Source organism: Homo sapiens, chromosome 10 (genome assembly GCF_000001405.40).
Source record: "Homo sapiens chromosome 10, GRCh38.p14 Primary Assembly".
In the NCBI taxonomy this organism is placed as follows: domain Eukaryota; kingdom Metazoa; phylum Chordata; class Mammalia; order Primates; family Hominidae; genus Homo; species Homo sapiens.
The window spans coordinates 133,623,654-133,643,764 of NC_000010.11; the positions used below are offsets into that span (position 1 = coordinate 133,623,654).

The following is a 20,111-nucleotide window of genomic DNA, read 5'->3' on the forward strand; positions in this document are numbered from 1 at the left end:
CAGAGTGTAAGCATAACTCATAAGCAGGGTCAACCCAAAAATTGTGTGACTCGCGTTACTGTGATTCTTTTATACTGCAGTGCTCGAGAATAAAATCTCTGTATCTCCAATTCATATCTGTATATTACCATTGAATTGGCCCCATTTCCTGTAGTGATAGAACACTATTCCCGCACTATGACAAGAGCTGTGGGCTGTGGGGAGGTCAGGGATAGGATGACACGGAAGTGACAATAAGACATTCTCTTTTTCACATTTTTATTAAATACAAATTCCATATGAAAGAAATTTAAAATTCCAAACAACATTGTTTATTTCATTACATAAAATGAAAATTATAAAGCAACCAAACAATTAATACACTTAGATAATGAAATAGTGTATGATCTCAGTACAAAATACAAGTAGAATATACGTCAAATATAACAAAATACACTGTATTGTAGTACGTGATGAAATCTCCATATCCTGCAATATAGTACAATCAATTGAAATGTATAAAATATAATAAAATATAAATTTAGGATGTTTAAAATGAAATGAAACATGAGGCAGGTCAATAAATAAGTACAATCATTTACCATTTACTATATCTTGACTTAAATTTTATGTAGAAATATTAAAAGTAAACAGCTTGCATAGTAATTTTACTATAATTATATCAAACAAAATATATAGACATTTTCCCACAGGGAGTGCTATTAATGGTTTGTGGATATTAGTACTCCATGGGTTCAGGCTGGAAGAGTGAGAGCCTACAACCTTTTCTGGATTAAAAGAGAAGCAATTTCTTGGTAAGGCGGCTCATGCCTGTAATCCCAGCACGTTGGGAGGCGGAGGCTGGCAGATCACCTGAGTTCGAGGCCAACCTGGCCAAAGTGACAAAACTCTGTCTCTACTAACAATACAGGAAAAAAAAAATTAGCCAGGCATAGCAGTACATGCCTGTAGTCCCAGCTGCTTGGGAGGCTGAGGCATGAGAATTGTTTGAACCCAGGAAGCAGAGGTTGCAGTGAGCTAAGATTGTGCCACTGCACTCCAGCCTGGGTAACATAGCAAGACTGTCTCAAAAAAAAAAACAAAAAAGGAGCACATAATTTTATATTTACTTTTCTACAATCTAAAATATGCAAATTCACGATTACATTCTAATGTTTTTCTGATTATATAGAAATGCATGACTGTCATCAGACATCCAAAAGGCATCAAATGTCTAACATGAAATATAAAATTTGTCTATAGTCTTAGCGGTCTGCAAAATTCAGGGCTCTCACCATTCTGAGTATACCGCTCAAGTTTCTTTCCTATGACTTCTTCAGGTTCTGTCATTTATTAACACAGTGTGTCTAAAATTGTCACTGCTGGTCATCTGGAAGAATCTGAGAAGAAGCAGATCCTTGTTCTCATTCCCAGAGCTGCATCTCTGCTGAATAGGGTCAGGGTGCTCACAGCTTAGCCTCATCTGATCCACTGACAGTCTCAGTTATCTCCTGCCCAGGGAAGGGATGGGCTTCTCTATCCAGGGCTGATTCCCCAGGACCTGGCAGTGTGGCTGGGACAAGCCAGCTCTCAGCAGGGAAGACATAAGCTGCCTGGGTGGCCATGGAATACAAGGTCTGCACCTGGGCACACAGAGGCCCCCGGAGCCGAGTGAGCAGTGTCAGCTGCTCACAGGTAAGTGGAGAATGGATCTGCTGTGCCCACACCTGGGCTAGGTCTTGATAAACAGCCTCTGACATAGCTCGCACAGAGGTCACCAAGCTTTTTCGAATTGACGGTGTTTGGACTCCTAGGGCCCGAGACCTATGCCGCTTGCTGCGCCCAGTGCAAGCCCTGGAACGTCCCCTATGGTGGGCATCACAGGTCTCCTGGATTTCACTGTTGTGCACAGGAGTGGAGGATCTTGATTTTTTATTCAATGACAAGCTGCACTCCTTTTCTGGACAGTTCCCTGCAAAGAAAGCATGTGAGAGACTCACCAGAGCAGTCCCCACAGACCCTGATTTCCAGAACCCCCTGTACACCCAGGTGAACCCCACTTGTCTCTCCCACTCCTTCCTGACCATCTCAGCACTGGAATGAAGTGAGGCTGAACCCCTTGTGAGTCCCCAAATATTCTCAGAGTGCTAAGATCTCAAAAATTTACTCGTCAATAAGTAACTCCCTTTCCGCTCAAGCCTCGTATAAAAGTTTCCTGATTATTTGCCTTTTGGGGCAAACCAAAAACAAAAAAACCACCACCAACAACAACAAACACCAAGATTCTACCTGCTGTGTCTTGGCAGCTGTCCTTGGAACTCATTTTTCTTTTCCTGCAGTTTTCCCGATATGAGCTGGACTCTGGTTCTGTGAACACAATGAGAGTTTGAGAAAGTGCCTCCAACTGAACACCCTGAAATTCCTAGTCCATCCTGGACACACAGGAGCTGAGGTTACCACCAAACCCCAGCTCTCTTCTGTTCTCCAGTGTCCAGGATCTGTACGGCCCTGGCTGCCAAGGAGCTCCCAGTTTCCTTGCCAGGGGAGCCTGTGTTGCTTCCCTGTCCCTTCTCACCTTGAAAGAGTCAAATCTTACCTGATCCAGCAGTGCTGTTCCCGGCCTTGAGCTTGGTTTCCTCAGAATTCTCCTTGTTTGGATTGGGCTCCGATCCTGCTGCAAGAGAAGGTTTAGGTGACTCACCTCTCCCTAGGCAGAGTCCCACAGTCTATCTCTGATGCATTTTTGCGGATCAGTCTTTCATGTGAAGCTCTTCTGCCAGTGTCACGAGTGAACACATTTCTCAAGTCCCCTGAGGGCACTAAGCCATTTCCCATCCCCAAATCTCAAAATAAAACCCTGCTAAAGACACAGCTCAGTATCCCTGATTCCAACCCTCCTTCCAGACTCCATAGGAGCAGCCCAAGGCCTTACCTTGCCTTTGTATGTGCTTCTCACTGGAATGGGAGAAGGCGGTCTTGCCTTTTTCTTTGAATGGTTTCTTCTCATCTGAGCCCTTTTCTGTAAAGGAGATCTGTTGGAAAGGGGGCTGGTCAGTGGAGCACTGGATGGAGGAGCAGTGGAGATCGGGGTCTTCATTTCCCTTTCCCATGTTGAAGCTCAAGTGAAAGGTGCGCTCTCTCTCACGTCCAAAGGCAGAGTGTGGGTTAGTCTGCTAGACCTGCCTTTTATACGTCCCTCGGCTGGGCGTGGCTTACTCTTATTGGCTGAAGAGTTTTCTCATTCCTGCCGCTTCTTAGAGCCTCAATCAGAAGTTTCTTGCTGTAGTTCTACTGGGGACCTAGACACAGTTAAAGGGAGACATTTTCAGGATCCTGTCATGGTGTCCAGAAAACAAAGAACCGGGAGCACAGGGACCGGAAAATCGGGGAAGCATTTCTTCCTATTTCTGTCCCAGTTCCTACCTGGAAGGATTTATGATCCTGTTCACCTTTCAAGATGCACAATTAAACATGCCTATATTGTCATATGTTATATATTTTGCACAGAAAGAGAATTTATTATACATAGTGTTAACATTGTATGCATAGATATTATAATTTCTTAAATGCTTGGAAACAACAAATGTCAAATTATGGTTGATTGTATTAGATCCACACATATATGATGAAATAAAAATGCAGAGAAAAAATAAATACCAAATGAAATGGCCCTTCCTACCTTAAAAATGGGGAAGATAATTAGATCAAATGCAATAAAATTGAATTGATTAGGTTGAGTCAGTGCTAACCTAATTAGCCCCTGATTCCTGAGGTAGCAAAAAGTCTCGGTGGAAAAACTTTCCCCCATTCTCACCCTTCCTCAGTCATCCTGGGAGCGCCATTGTGTTCTGTGGGCTTTATTCAGCCCTCCCTAGTGAAAATGGACTTGGTCTCAAACAGGTAACCCAACTGATCACAAGACAAACAGCCTAGATTCTGAACATCAGCTCCTGTCTTCACACTGCGGACACCACCTGAATCCCGTCAAAGCCCACATTGTTTCTCAACATCCACCAGCAAGACGTATTCCAGGGCAGCCTCTCAAAACTGCCTCAGTGAGACGGGACAAGGTGTGGTGGAGCTCCAGGTTCAGAACAGCTGCCTCATCCCTTCCTACTGCGGCGGAGTCTGTCTCTGCTGGTCAGAGCCCTCCAACTAGCCTAGTCTATGTCCAAGCAAGTGTCCCCTAAAAGGACCTTCTTGTCTCCCCCTCTGCTGAGGAAAGCATGCAGGAACGAGACCTTCTATGTTAAGGAGTACTCAGCCTCCAGTCCCAGATGACTTGATTGACTGATGAACTGATTCCTTGAGGAGGAGAAAGACACAGGGAAGAGACTGTGTTGGGTGAGTCTGTGTTTTCCCAGCTGTGCTGCCTGTGCAAATAGTGGAACGAAAAAAGAATTAGTGGTAGACAGACACTGCCTAGTGAAATTGTCTGAAAGTAAATGGAACTTATCATAATATGATATCGTTATATATTATAATATTATGATATGAAATTTGACATCTAAATAAATTTTGATATATTATGAAATAATATATAAAATTTGGTCAGGTAATTTCATAAATTTTGTAACAACATTAACCTATAAACTCAATAGAAAGCTAGGAAAATTGTCTGCTCTTGTGTAAATGACTGCGTTTTGGATAACTCTGTAAAAGCTGTGAAGAGGGGTCTGCTACTTACGTGATAGTAAGTACTTGATAAGACATCGACTTGCACATCTTTGCTGTTTTTAACCAATGCTCTCTCAAGATATGAGAATATTTTACTCTAAGAAAGTATTTTCCTAGATATCGTAATAGGAATTTTGTTAATTTTAGTTAATAAATTATTATAACATTTAGTGATTATTAATAATTTATGTCATTGTTAAAATATATTCCTACAGAGAACATATTACCCATGTGTTTTTATTTGTCCTTTAATCTCAGGTAAATTTTTTAAATTTTTATTTATTAAATTCTATTTATTTTAGACAAAAGAGACCTTGTAACTGCCATATGATGTACTTTCTTAGAAAGAGAAATTCTCAGGCAAAACTTAGGACTGGCTGGGCATGGTGGCTTATGCCTGTAATCCCAGCACTTTGCGAGGCCAAGGCGGGTGGATCACCTTAGGTCAGGAGTTCAAGGCTAGCCTAGCCAACATAAGGAAGCCCCATCTGCACTAAAAATACAAAAAAAAAAATTAGCTGAATGTGGTGGCTCATGCCTGTAATCCCAGCTAGTTGGGAGGCAGGAGGATTGCTTGAACCCGGGAGGCAGAAGTTTTGGTGAGCCGAGATCAATCCACTGCACTCCAGCTGGGCGACAGAGCAAAACTCCATCTCAAAAAAAGAAAAAACTCAGCCTTATTTTTATCAAAATCTAGATTTTAAATGACATTTCTAGGTGTCCCCTTTCAATAAAAATCCAAACCAAAACAAACAAAAAGTTTCTAGGTAATTCATATGAATATTAATAACTGTTAAATTGGGTACTTTTATTTTTAAGAGAGGGATTGTTTATATGGATGTGTTGATGTATCAAACATGTACAGTTAAAATTGTACCTTTTTTTGACAGAGCCTCACTCTGTCCCTCTGGAAGGAGTGCAGTGGTGCAATCACAGCTCACTGCAGCCTTGACCTCCCAGACTCCAGTGATCCTCCCAAGTCAGCCTCTCAAATAGCTGTGACTAGAAGTGTGCACCACTATGCCCAACTAACTTTTAAAAAATTGTTGTAGAGATGAGGTCTCACTCTCTTGCCCCAGTGAGGCCTTGTTATGTTGCCTAGGCTGGTCTCAAACTCCTGAGCTCTGGCTTCCAAAGTGATGAGGTTACGAATGTGAGCCACCATGCCCAGCCAAGATTAGACCTTTCAATGAGTGCACATCTTACCTCAAAAAAAAAAAAAAAAAAAGAAAAGAAACTTATTAAAAGATAAAGTCTGAGTTAAAAATGGGTTCACACTAATGATTTTTAATTTGGTACTTCTATTGTTAAAAGAGGGATTGCTTATATGGGTGTGTTTATGTGTAAAAAGCTAGTTAAGGTCGAACCTTTATTTATTTTTTTTTTGAGACAGAGTCTCACTCTGTCACCCAGGCTGATGTGCAGTGGCACAATCACAACTCACTGTAGCCTCAAACTCGTAGAATCAAGGGATCCTGCTATGTCAACATCCCAAGTAGCTGGAACTACAGGCATGCACCACCGCGCCTGATTAATTAAAAAAAAAATTTAATAAAGATGTGGTCTCACTATGCTGCCCAGGCTGCTCTCAAACTCCTGACCTCAAATGATCCTCCTGCCTTGTCATTCCAAAGTGATGGGATTACACAGGCTTAAGCCATTGTGCTCAGCCAAGATTTTACCTTCAATGAGCACACATTTTATACCACAAAAAATAATAATAAATAACAAAGTCTGTGTGAGAAATGAGTTGAAGTATAGATAACACAAAATTGGCATGTTATTAGTTGTTGTTGAGCCTGGGTAACAGGCCTATTGTACTGTTTCTTTTATTTTGTGTATGTTTTAAATTTTCTGTAATAAAACATGTATAATAATACAAAGTTGATCTACACTGTTAGCTCTTAAGATCTTAGTGACTTTGGGGGAGCAAAAGAGAGAAAGTGGTTACCAGGACATCTGTGAAGCTGGTTCTATTTCTAGGTTACACACGTGTGTTCACTTTGTAATAATTCATTGAACTTTACATGATTTCTTTGTATATGTCTTTCTGCATGAATGTTATACATATATAAAAATTTAAATATTACCTATTTGCACAAAATTTTAACTTCATATCTCAGAATAATAGCACTGTTTTGTACTGTTTTAAAGTGGGACATGTTTTCTCGGGGCATCATCAGATGGATATTAATATTCCAAGGTATTTACTTATGTTGTAACACTTCGGTGACCTTCTAGGTCTTCCCATGTTTACATCAATTTAGTAAGTAAGATAGTTTTAATTTTTTAGGGTATAGGCCAAGCACGGTGGCTCATGCCTACAGTCTCAGCTCTTGGGAGGCCAAGGCAGGAGGATCATTTGAGTCCAGTATTTTGAGTTTTTTTAGGATGCAATTATTATTCAGCAAAGTCCTCTCCCCACGGTGAGGTTCAGCAATGCAAGGGCACCTAGTGCATACTATGCATTTGGTATGAGTAGAACTGGATTGAATCAGGAATAAAATACGTAGCAGAGGTCAGTTCGGCAAGGAAAAGTAGGTAATGCAGGTAAGATCAGAAGAGCACAACCCAGCAGCAAATCTTTCCATTTATTTCAGGAACCCATTTGCCACTAGTTCACCGGAAGAGGCTGATTTAAACCATTCATTTCAGGAAACCATTTGCCACTAGTTCACCAGAAAAGGCTGATTTAAACCATTCATTTCAGGAAACCATTTGCCACTAGTTCACCCAAAGAGGCTGATTTAAAGCAGCAGTTTGGGGGCTTGGTTGTACCCCATAGTCACCCAGAGAGCTTTAAACAGCACTATGGCTCAGGTCCCACTGCAGGGATTCTGAGTTCACTTTTCTATTGCCTTTTGAGTTTAGGTAATTTTAAAAGCCTCCCTGGTGATTCCTGTGTGCACCCAGGGGGAACAACCCCTGGTTCGGGATGAGAAATGCATTTGCTGTGCATGCATTCCATGTGTGCAGCGGTGATTTGCCCCATGGCCACTCCTGAGTTTGGGGTCTTAGAAAATACACTTGTCCTGTTAAAAATCAAAAAACTACTTCAAGACACACTCAGCTGTTTGACTAAAATGCAGCAGGAGAAAATATCTTCTCAAAAGATGTATCTGGATGGCACTTGCTTTCAGAGTAAAAGGTGGTTTCAAGCACAATATAGCACTTTTTTCCTACAGGCTTTCAAGGCCTTTTACTATCATATCCTTATGAATCACAGGAATAAAAAAATCATAGTTATATAACTGTCAAATATTGTATTAGGAAAAAAATTAAGGGCATGTCTTCCATGCTCATGTATCCTGATTAAAATCAGTTAAGACCCATCTGCCCGGCGTGGTGGCTCACACCTGTAATTCCAGCACTTTGAAAGGCAGAGGCTGGAGGATCACTTGAGCTCAGGAGTTCAAGACCAGCATGCTCAACATAGAAAAACCTCATCTCTGCCAAAAATACAAATATTATCTGGTTGTGGTAGTGTGCACGTGTGGTCCCAGCTACTTTGGAGGCTGAGGTGGGAGAATCGCTGGAGCACAGAATGTCAAAGCTGCAGTGAACCACTGCACCCCAGCCAGAATGACAGGGAAAGAGACCCTGTCTCAGAAATAAAAATAAATAAAGAGACCCATTCTTTCAGACACCCTCATTCTTCTACATAAAACACAGTGCTTTTGACTGAAATGTTTTAAGATGAACTGAAGATTCTCCCATAATCAGGAGCAGTAGATGGAGGTTGCTCCCTTCCTGTTCTTTGAGTTGAAGCAAGGCAGAGGTCTGGAGACTCAAACTGGTAAGTACTCAAACTGGTAAATATATCAATTGCTTTCTTTTCATATGAGGTATTAAGCTATTCTTGCATTGCTATTTAAAAAACCTGAGACTGGGTAATTTATAAGAAAAGAGTTTGATTGGCTCATGGTTCTGCAGGCTGTACAGGAAGCATAGCACCAGCGTCTGCTTCTGGGAAGGCCTCGGGAAGCTTACAATCATGGTGAAAGAGAAGCAGGCATCTCACATGGTAGAAGCAGAAACAAGAAAGATGGGGGAGGGATGGGCCACACTTCTAAACAACCAGATCTCACGAGTACTCACTATCACAAGGACGGCACAGATCCATGAGGGACTCACCCAGTGATTCAACCACCTCCTCCCCAGGTCCCACCTGCCACATTGGGGATTAAAATTCAATATGAGATTTGGAGGGGACATCTAAACTATATCACATGACCATCAGAAAAACAGATGAAGAATTCATGGTTTCTACTGTCCAGAAACTTTTCATCTAGAGCAAACAGATTAATGGCTGAATTCAGCATCCTGTGGTCGGAAGGGAAATGGATTAATGGCTGAATTCAGCATCCTGTAGTCGGAAGGGAGAAGGGAGCTGCACAGGGGGCCTTGGCTGCATTTGCTCCATTTCCCTTATGCTGTTCCTTGAGTTCCGATGTCACTACCTGAAGGGCTATTCATGGACAGAAGAATTATTGTTATTGTTGTGATTATTTCTATTTCTTTTATCTTGGTAAAAATAAGTTTTTAGCTTCTCATATAATTGTCCTAAAAAACCCTAAGAGTTTCGCTTAAGTTTCTTGTTATCATGTGTTATAAAAATTGACAGGGAAGTGGCTAAAACAGATTAAAATTACACAAGCTCCAAGAGTCAAGTCTCTGTTGGGGAGGCTTAGGAAAGACAGAACTGGAAATACTCCACCAGCATGAACATCAGAAACATGGGGTCCACTTTCTGTTCCAGCCCTGCCCAGATCCACCCTCTTCTAAGGCCTCATCCAGGTCTGGCCTCACCCTAGAATCTTCTCTCACAGAACTCATTAAAGGAGACCAGAGATTCGGGCGCGGGCTCCTGCTGCCTCTCCTGAGCTGGTGCCCACAATTTCCTAAAATGGAAAAGCAGATAAGTGGAAGCAAATAATTCTGTATTTGGGGGTTATAATTTCTTTTTCATTGAAGCCAGTGCTTCTAGAGACACCCCACCTAGCAACTTGTTTTCCATTCCTGCAAATTCAGTAGCTGCTCCACAAGGCACAAGAAGGTAAATATAAATATAAAACATCTCTCTGAACAGTTCATCCTTTTTTCTTTATCCCTTCATCTGTCGATATAGCTTTTATTCTGCACATTTTATTTTCCAGGTAAATAATTTTTAAAATGGAAGAAAAAATAGAAACGCTAGGCCCTTCATTTAAATCCTGAAAATTACAGAAAACTTAGCACCCAACTCCCAGGGTGCTATGAGGATTAACTCACATCATGTAATGTTTCCTGAACAGTGCTCTGTAACAGACTTCTGAACACATAGTACGTGCTCAATAAACATTGTATTAACTCATGTGTACATGTTTTCCAAATGCAGACTTACTCAAACATTGATGCCTTCTCTAGGCTTTCTAAACTGCAAAGAGCCAGCAGAAAATGACATGTTTGAAAATGGCGATTGGTGGCTTCCACTTTGAGCCAAAAGTATTTGTGTTGTGGTAACAGTGTTGGGTGTCAGGAGCTCTGTGCTGTGCCTACTTTCTCTAGCTGAGTGCTACTCTATTGGATGTAGTGGAAGAAACATCAGCATTAAGAGGAGACTTTTTAAAGAAGCCAATTCATGGACCCCTTCCAAACCTGCAGAATCACATTACTAAGAGAGAGCCTGGAATCGGAAATAATTCATATGCACATTGAAACTTGAGAGGCAGCCGGGTGCGGTGACTTATGCCTGTAATCCCAACACTTTGGGAGGCGGAAGTGGGCAGATAACCTGAGGTCAGGAGTTCAAGACTAGCCTGGGCAAAATGACCAAACCATGTCTCTACTAAAACATACAAAAATTAGCCAGGTGTGGTGGCTGGTGCCTGTAATCCTAGCTACTCGGGTGGCTGAGACTGCAGAATCCCTTGAACCTGGGAGGTGGAGGTTGCAGTGGGCCAAGATGGTGCCACTGCACTCCTGCTGGACAATGAGTGAAAACTCTGTCAAAAGAAAAGAAAGACAAGAAAGAAAGAAAGAAAGAAAGAAAGAAAGAAGAAAGAAAGAAAGAAAGAAAGAAAGAAAGAAAGAAAGAAAAGAAAGACTTGAGAGTGATGCTTAGCTAAGTGGCTCTCGGCCCATGCTTCCAGCCGTAATCACATGGCCAGCTTAAAGAAATACCATCACCTGTGCCCTCCCCAGAGACTCTGTCTATTGATCTTGGTGGGAGCATCTATGTGGTTGTAATTAGAAAGTCAAATTGTCCCTCTTTGATGATAATATAATATCATATATACAAAAATTCTAAAGACCACCAAAAAACTCTTAGATTTGATAAATAAATTTAATAATGTTTCAGGATGCAAAAATCAACGTACAAAAATTGATAGCATTTTTATACACTAATGATGATCAAGCTGAGAACTGAATTAAAAAGTCACTTCCTTTTACAATAGCTACAAAAAAAGGTAAAATGCTTAGAAATACAATTGGTCAAAGAGATGAACGATGCCTTCAAGGAAAACTACAAAACACTGATGAAAGAAATTGTACATGACACAAATGAGAAAAACATCCCATGCTTATGGATTGGAAGAATTATGATCAATAAAATGACTCTACTGCCCAAAACAATCTACATATTAAATGCAATTCCTACCAAAATGCCAATGTAATTTTTTATAAAATTAGAAAAAAAAACCACTAAAATTCTTATGGAACCACAAAAAGAGCCTGAATAGTCAAAGCAAATCTAAGCAAAGAGAATAAAGCTGGAGATATTACATTATCTGAATTAAAATTATGCTAGAAGGCTGTAGTAACCAAAACAACATGGTACTGATATAAATCGACACATAGATCAATGGTACAGAATAGAGAACCTAGAAATAAAGCCACATACCTACAAACGACTGATCTTTTACAAAGTCAACATAAACACACACTGGAGAAATGACATCCTATTCAACAAATTGTGCTGGAAAAATTATATTTCCGTATGCAGAAGAATGGAATGGGACCCCTATGTCCCACCATATACAAAAATCAACTCAATATGGATTAAAAGACTAAAATGTAAGACCTGAAACTATAAAAATGCTAGAAGAAACTCTAGGATAAACTCTTCTAGACATTGACTTGGACAAAGAATTTATGACTAAGATCTCAAAAGCAGATGTAACAATAACAAAAATAGACAACAAGAACTCAATTAAACTAAAAAGCTCCTGAAAATGAGCTTTCTAATTAACACAGTGAACAGAAAACCTATGGAATGAGATAAATGTTTATGAGTTTTGCATGTGACAAAGATCTAATGTCCAGAATATGCAAGGAACTCAAACAGCTCAACAAAAATAAAACAAGTAACCTCATTAAAAAGCAAGCAAAGAACATGAACATTAAAAAAAAAAAGACACTGATGGTCAATGGTCAACAAGCACGTAAAAGATGCTCAACCTTGTCAATGATCAGAGAAATGCCAATTAAAAACCACAACGAGATACCAACTTACACCATGCAGAATGGCTATTACTAAAAAGCAGAAAAATGAGCTATCAGCAAGGATACAGAGAAAAGAGAACATTTATACATTGTTTGTGGGAAAGTAACTTTCTACAACCTCTGTAAAACAGTATGGAGATTTCAAAATAGACTAAAAATAGAACTTCCATTTGATTCAGCACTCCCACTACTTGGTATCTACCCAAAGGAAAATAATTTGTTACATAAAGAAAATACCCATGCTGACATGTTTATCACAGCACTATTCATAATAGCCGATATATGAAATCAATTTAAATTTATCAGTCAATAATCGAATAAAGAAAATGTGCTATACGAGTATACCATGGAATGCTACTCAGCCATGAAGAAGAATAAAATCATGTCTTTTGCAACAACATGAATAAAACCGGAGGCCATTATTGTAAGTGAAAAAACTCAGAAACAGAAAATCAAATTCAGTATTTTCTCACTTGTAAGTGGGAACTCAATTAAGCATACACTTGGATATAGAGACTGGAAAAATAGACACTGGAGACTCAGAAAGATGGGAGGTTGGAGAGGGTTTAGGAATGAGAAAATAACTAATTGGGACAATAAACAACATTCAGATGATTGTCACACCAAAAGCCCATACTTCATCACTATGCAACATGCTTCTGTAAGGGAGCTGCATTTGTACTCTTTAACGTATTAATAAAGAGATTAAAAAAAAAAAGGCCTGGTGCGGTGGCTCAAGCCTATAATCCCAGCACTTTGGGAGGCTGAGGAGGGCGGATCACGTGGTCAGGAGTTCAAGACCAGCCTGGCCAATATAGTGAAACTCCATCTCTACTAAAAATACAAAAATTAGTCAGGTGTGGTGGCACATGCCTGTAGTCCTAGCTACTTGGGAGGCTGAGGCAAGAGAATCACTTGAACCCGGGAAGTGGAGGTTGTGGTGAGCCGAGATCGTGTCACTGCACTCCAGCCTGGGGAACAGAGGGAGACTCCGTCTCAAAAAAAAAAAAAGAGAGAAAAAAAAAAACTTTGGCTTTTATCAAGAGGACAAACTGAATAGACCTCATAATTTTCATAAATAATTAGATTAGGCAAAAAATTTTAATAAAAATAAATAGAAAATAATATTGTATTTTAAGAATGGTATAGAAAGATAATTTGATGAATTAGAGTAGTTAGTACTTAGCACATACAATATGTTAGGCAAGATTCTAAGCCACTTAGACCTTTATAGACAGAATATGTAACAGAGTAAAATAAATAACACAAAGATTCATTGGCAATGACAAATTGACATATTTTCAATAATATTAGATGATATTAAAACCATTGACAAATTTACTGTTTTGTTTCATAATAAAAAAGAATGTTAAATAACTTCATTAAAAAGTTGGCTAATTAGGCATATAGATAAATGGGCAGCATTTTGACCAGTACACAGGGGATACACATTTTCAAAGACCAGACAAAATTATTTATTTATTTTTTGGGGGAGAGGACAGTTTTATTATCTGGGGATACAGTGGGGTCCTCTCCCTGGGAGGTGGGGTCTTCCACTGGTTTTCCCCGCCAGGGCTCCAGGGGGCGCCATGCGATTCAGCGCTGGGCTCCGCTGGGGGCCGGGCCTTGGAGGAGGCGAACCGTGCAGGGAAGCGGCAGCCGTGGGGTCCTCACCGCCCGCTCCGCCGGGCTGCACCCGGCCCCCTGGTGCTCCTCAGGCTCCCGCCGAGTCTGCGTCTCTGGAGGGCAGCGAACCATCCTGCCCAGAACCTTATCCTCACAGTCCATTTTGACGCAGGTCAGGCATTTCTGCTTCCTCCTCTCGGGCTGGGCTTTGCACTTGGGTTTCTTCCAGGCCTTCCTCCAGCCGCTTCCCTGTCTGCCGGAGCTTAAATTCCAGCCTCACAGATGTTCCAGCTGGGAAGGGCGTGTCCAGGGCGCTGTCCACACTGGTCTCCCGGAAGGCCCGCTGCACGGGCGGGTGCTTGCAGATTCCTCCAGGGCCACCTGCAGGCCCCGGCGCTGGCCCCGTGAGCTCGGCCCCTCCCGCGTCCCCCGCGCCCACCCACGGGGCCAGCGAGATCCGCAGCCGTCTCAGGCTTCCCCTGTCACCCCGGCCCTGCGAAGCGGGTGTGCGCCCCTTAGTTCTCCGAGCCCGCCGGGAGCCACCTCCTCCCCTGCCCCTGGAGGGGGCCACGCCCGCAGAACGCTGGGCAGAGGCGAAGGAACCGGGAAACGTCCCTTTTCTCCACACTGACCTTCGGGTCTGCTGGGTCCTCTCCACTCCCTCCCACCCTGCCCGCGCTGTTCCCTGGGGCCCGCAGTTTCAGCAAAGTTCCCTGCCGCGCCGGGAAGCCGTCCTGTTGCCCACTCTCACCCTTCCTCCTTTCCCGGCCCATTCTCTCTCCCCACTGGGTCTCCGACACGACCCTCTCTCCTCCCGGCTGTCCCCGAGCCCCTCTCTGCTTCCCCAGCTCAGCCCCCTCTCTGACGGCTTCTCCCTCCCACCCCCAGGCGAATCTCCGGGCTCCCACGGGGTGCCCCCGATCCCCGGGGTCTAGGTCAACCGACAAAATTATTTTAAATGGGAAGATTTGAATTCCATTGAATTCATGGAAGCAGGAATCCATCTGGTCATATTTTAAATAATTTTGAAATGATAATAGCAATTATCAATTTAAAGTTTAACCAGAATTCAGAATAACCACCATTTTACCAGAAAAAAAAAAAACCTGTTATAACTAACCAACTAAGTCAGTAAATTCTCAGGATACAATATTAACATATGAACATCAGTTGCATTTTTTTACAGTAACAACAAAATATCTGAAACAGGAATAAAGATAGTTCCATTTACAATATTATCAAAAGAATGAAATACTTAGGAATGAGTTAACAAAGAATATGAAAGATCTGCATACTGAAAACTATAAAATGTTGAGGAAAGAAAATGAAGAATACAAAATGGGAAATATGTGTTCATGGATTCTAAAAATTAATATTGTTAAAATATCCATACTACACAAAGTGATCTACAGAGTTAAATTTTTATCAAAATTTTAATGCCATTTTATTAAAATGTAGAACGACAATTTTAAAATTAGTATGGAACCACAAAAGACCTCAAATAGCCAAATACTGAGAAGAACAAAAAGGCTGAAAGCCTCACACTTCCTGATTTCAAACTATATTACAAAGCTGTAGTCATTAATACAGTATAGTACCTACATAAAAACCAATAGAACAGAATAGAGGACCCAGAAATAAACTCACAAATATACAGTCGACCAATCCCACAGAATGGAGAAAGGATAAACACATCAAGGAGTGGTGTAGGAAAAACTCGATATGCACAGACAAAAAGTAAACCTTTCTCTCATGTCATCACAAAATGAATTTGAAATGAAATAAAGACTTAAACATAAGAACTGAAATCATGAATCCTCTAAAAAAAAAATGGGGAAAAGCCTCCTTGACACTGGTCATGGCAATGATGTTTCGGATTTGACACCAGGAGCGCAGTCAACAAAAGCAAAAATAAACAAGTGGAACTATGTCAAAGTAAAAATTTTCTGCACAATAAAGGAAACAATCAGCAAAATATAAAGGCATTATATGGAATGGGAGAAAATATTTGTAAACCATATGTAGGATAATATGTTACTATCCAAAATATATGTCATAGTAATCAATACAAAAAACCCACAGCAGAATTAAAAGCAATTTCTTGATTAATAATTGGGCAAAATATATAAATAGCAATTTTTCCAAAGATATACAAATGGCCAGCAGGTATATAAAAAATGCTCAACATCACTAATTATCACAGTAATTAAAATCAAAATCACAATGAGGTATCACCTTATCGTGGTGTTTGGATACCTATTATCAAAAAGTCAAAAGACAAAAAGCGTTAGGGTGTGGAAAAAGAGAACACTTGTGCACTGTTGCTGAGGATGTCAATTGGTGCAGCTATTATGAAAAACAGTATGGAGGTTCCTTAAAATTGTTAAACTAGAACTACCATTAATCCCAATTAGGAGTATATAGCCAAAGGACATAAAATCAGGATCATCAAGGGTATCTGCACTCCTCTGATACAGATAAACTGAGAGACATAATTTCAGCTTTAATAAAAATGAAACTCATCCACTACAATATTGATAAATCTTGACGACATTATGCTAAGCGAAATAAGCTGAATACAGAAAGACAACTACTGCATGATCTCGTTTGTATGTAAAATCTAAAAAAGTAAATAAAAATTTAAAAAAAGCCATGGAAACAGTAGAACGCTGGTTCCCATGGGCTAGGAAGTGGGGAAAGTGGGGAGATTTCCATGGAAGGGGCGCACCTTCAGTTACAAGGTGAGTAACTGCTGGGGACCTAATGTACAGAATAGTGACTATAGTTAACAATACTGTGTACTTGAAATTTGCTGCAAGAGTAGATCTCAGGTGCTCTCACCACACACAGAGGCGTATTCACTATGTGAGGGGATAGACAGGCTAACTAGCTTAACTGAGGTGATTTAAAGACCACTGACATCTCAAAACACTCTATTGTACACCCTAAAAATACACACTTTTCAATTTGTCAATCATAGCTCAACGAATGGAGAAAAAAAATAAGAGTAACCAGCAGGTCATAGCTCGCCACACGGAAGCTCGATTTAAAACACGCTTGGCCGCTGTTCGCAGCTCAACTCGGGAAGGGCCGGAGCGCTTCTGGCCCCTGGACTTCGACGCTCCTCCCGCGCCCCCGGGGCTGGGGAAGGCGCAGTCGTTCCCCGGATTCCAGGCACGCAGATCCGGCAGGGCCATCGCCGTCCCCTGCTCTTGCCGCAGCCCCGTCAGGCTCCGCGTTTCGGGGCCTCCTGGCCGGGGAGGCTGCCTGTGGCTGCCCGCGCGCCCCCGGGGCTGTGGCTCCGCCGGCCCCCGCTCCGGCCCCGCGCAGCCCCTCCGAGAACGCAGCCGTCTGGTCCCGAACTCGCGGCCTCTGCCCGTAGCCGCCGCCAGCGCCTTCGCTGTGGCCGCTCCTCCCCCTCCCCGAGCCCGAGCTGGCCCAGCGGAGAAGGAGGGCGGAGAAGCTGGAACCCGAACGCGGAGCTGCAGGCGGCAGGTGCGGGAACGGGAGAAGCTATGGCCTCGCCCAGGACGGCTGCTCAGAGCGACACGAGCAACCGCCAGGAGCTCCGCACGCAGCTGGAAGAACTCAGTAACGTACTCCGCTGTGGGAGACATGGAGGTAATAAAAGTCTGATGTAGAAGTACTCGCAGAGAACCATGCTCTTGGTCAATCTCAGATTATTATTATCAGACCTACCCTAATGACGTTAGTCTTCCAAATAAAGTGAGTGACTGAACTGTCAAATCAGCAAGATCAGGATATTGAAAGTCCTGCTTTGAATTCTAACGACCAGTTATAAGTAGAAAATGACACTCACCCTGGTACTGATAGGACAGCAAATGTTAAGTGTAGACAAGAGGGTCATCTGCCTCCAATTCACAGGAGCCAGCATCTGCATTAGCAGCACAAGATACGTCCTTAGAAGGTTCGTCATTAGCTGGAAGTTTGAGAGCTGCAGCGGAAGCGGCTTTGTCACAGACTGGATTTAGTGATGATGAAAATACTGGACTGTATTTTGACCACAGCACTGGTTTCTATTAAGATTCTGAGAATCAAATATATTATGATTTAATTTATTACTACTGTGATGTGGAAAGTGGTCGCTATCGATTTCATTCTCGAGTAGATTTGCAACCTTATCAGACTTATAGCACGAAACAAAAACGAAAAATTGAGAAAAGAAAGGATTCTTCTACAAAAAAACGATGAGGAAAAGGATTTGAATTCAGAGGATCAAGAAGCCTTCAGTGTTGAACATACAAGCTGCAACGGGAAAGACAATTTCACAAATGTGAAAAAAAAAGCCAAAATAGGCATTCATCACAAAAATAATCCCCAAAATTCACTGTTCCAGTTAGTGGAAATCCTATGGAATCTCCTTTTAATGAAAACATCTCAATTCATCTTTAAGGATGAGAAAATCACAGAGACTGATGGTGAACCAGAAGAAGGTGAAATTACAGACTCTCATACCGAGGGTAGTTACGATGAAGGCATTACCAGTAAAGGCAATGCAACTGCAAAAGATACTGAGGAGGAAGATGAGGAAAAAGTGTGGCCTCATATATGAGAGTGATTGTCATTAGATCACCTGTGCTACAGACAGGATCATTCTTCATCATTACTGCTGCAAAACCTGCTACAATTGGAAGAGAAAATGATATGGAGAATACTCTTCAAATCCCTGAAGTTGGTGTAAGTTTCATGCAGAAATCTATTTTGACCTTGACTTACAAAGTTATGTCCTTTTGGATCAGACAGTCAAAATGGAACAATTGTTAATGTAAAATGGATTGTTCAGCTGAAAACTAAATGTGACCCTTATGAACCTGAGCATGGAGATAAAGTGAAAGTTGGAGACACTGTGTTATCTTATTACATTCACCCTGGCAGTAATAGCTGTGTTGGATGTGAACCAGGGCAGGTTAGAGCTCACCTTTTCCTTGACAAGAAAGATGAATCATTTGTTGGTCCATCATTAACTAAGAAGGAAACGAGTTGGAAAGAAGAAAAGGATTTTAAAAATATACGAGTAAAATATGGTTTACAGAATACAGACTACAAAGATGATAAGATACTGGAGAATCAAAAATATAAAGATAGAGCTGGAAAACATAGGGAGCAGATTGGAAGTGAAGGAAATTTCCAAAGAGATGATGCTCCTGCATCTGTTCATTCTGAAATTACTGATAGCGACAAAGGTCAGAAGATGTTGAAAAAGATGTGTTGAAAACAGGAGAAGGCCTGGGGAAGGATGGTGGGAGAATAAAAACTCCAGTACAGCTTCAGCCTTGGCAAACACATGCAGGATTGGAGACAGACAAACCATCCTCAATTAAAGAGACTCACCTTCTCCAAAACAAGAACAACAACAACTGGGACAAAGCTCAGGAGAGGTTTGCCGAAAACTTTCCAGAAACTAAACTTCCAAAAGATGACCTAGGAACCATTCCTTGGGTAAAAGGGACTGAGGAGTGAAGGTTAATCACAGAAGAAAACTCAAGCTTTTTTATAAATAGAGTTTGGAAACTCTTATTTTATTGCAGAATGTTTCTCCCCAAAAAAGTCAGTGGCATGAGAAAGCTGTGTCACAGTTTACCCCTTCCTGATTCAGAAATGTGTAATAAAATGTGGTTTGCAGCTTTTAAAAAACACTTTTTAAATTAATTATTAGTGACTGAATTAAGTTATACAGTAAGTGAACTAAAGTTCACAGGGCACAGATAAGTTTATCAAACTTACTATTTTATCTTGTCATTTACAACATCCATATAAGCAATTAGCCATATAAGCAAAATTCATATAACCACTTAAATGCTCATTTGTCCTTGTCTCCATATATTCATAGTAGTATGCACAGAAAATACAGCAAAAGAAACATCTAAAATCTATAAAAATAAATCTGACAATATACATTCTTTTTTATGTCCTTCAGGACCTAGATAAAAAATGTTGAGACAACATAAATAGTGATGCATACATTTTCTTATATTTGGAATAGCCTAAATCATATTAAAGAACTAATGAACAGGTGACATGTCACAGAAAATTCGTCTTTTATTGTTTTCTTAGGTGAAGAATCTGTATTTGTTGATATATACTGTACATTCAGCATTTGTATTTGGTTTGTTTCATAGCTAATGAAATGTTTATACATGAAAAAATGAGTACAGTATTGAAATAGTCCATGTGCTGGCATTCATACTTTTTATAAATACCATTGCAGGCAATGAAGTTGTGCCAGAAAAATCTGATTTTGAGTACAAAAGGAATACTTAGCCAGGGCCTCGAGCTCAATATATTTATTGAAAATGTCCTAAATTGCCATAAAACATTATAAC

The 20,111-nt window shown here is 41.0% G+C and overlaps 1 protein-coding gene and 2 pseudogenes across 1 annotated transcript; 1 reads left to right on the forward strand and 2 right to left on the reverse strand.

The window, feature by feature from the left end:
* Positions 1-241: 241 nt before the first annotated feature.
* Positions 242-3,142, reverse strand: FRG2B (FSHD region gene 2 family member B). Its single transcript, NM_001080998.2, has 4 exons — positions 2,912-3,142; positions 2,576-2,650; positions 2,269-2,346; positions 242-1,951 (listed from the first exon to the last, which is right to left on the reverse strand). The coding sequence occupies exons 1-4, from the start codon at positions 3,087-3,089 to the stop codon at positions 1,446-1,448; spliced, it is 837 nt and encodes a 278-aa protein (NP_001074467.1). The 5' UTR covers positions 3,090-3,142; the 3' UTR covers positions 242-1,445.
* On the reverse strand, positions 13,632-14,260 carry RARRES2P2 (retinoic acid receptor responder 2 pseudogene 2; annotated as a pseudogene).
* Positions 18,236-19,438, forward strand: AGGF1P2 (angiogenic factor with G-patch and FHA domains 1 pseudogene 2; annotated as a pseudogene).

What these genes read in the sequence shown, in the direction of transcription:
- FRG2B (NM_001080998.2), bottom strand. Translation starts at nt 3,089, where the DNA reads ATGGGAAAGGGAAATGAAGACCCCGATCTCCACTGCTCCTCCATCCAG. An exon ending in GAAGCACATACAAAGGCAAG is followed by an intron (nt 2,651 to 2,911) that starts GTAAGGCCTTGG and finishes CTCTTGCAGCAG; the next exon opens with GATCGGAGCCCAATCCAAAC. An exon ending in CAGCTGCCAAGACACAGCAG is followed by an intron (nt 1,952 to 2,268) that starts GTAGAATCTTGG and finishes CTTTCTTTGCAG; the next exon opens with GGAACTGTCCAGAAAAGGAG.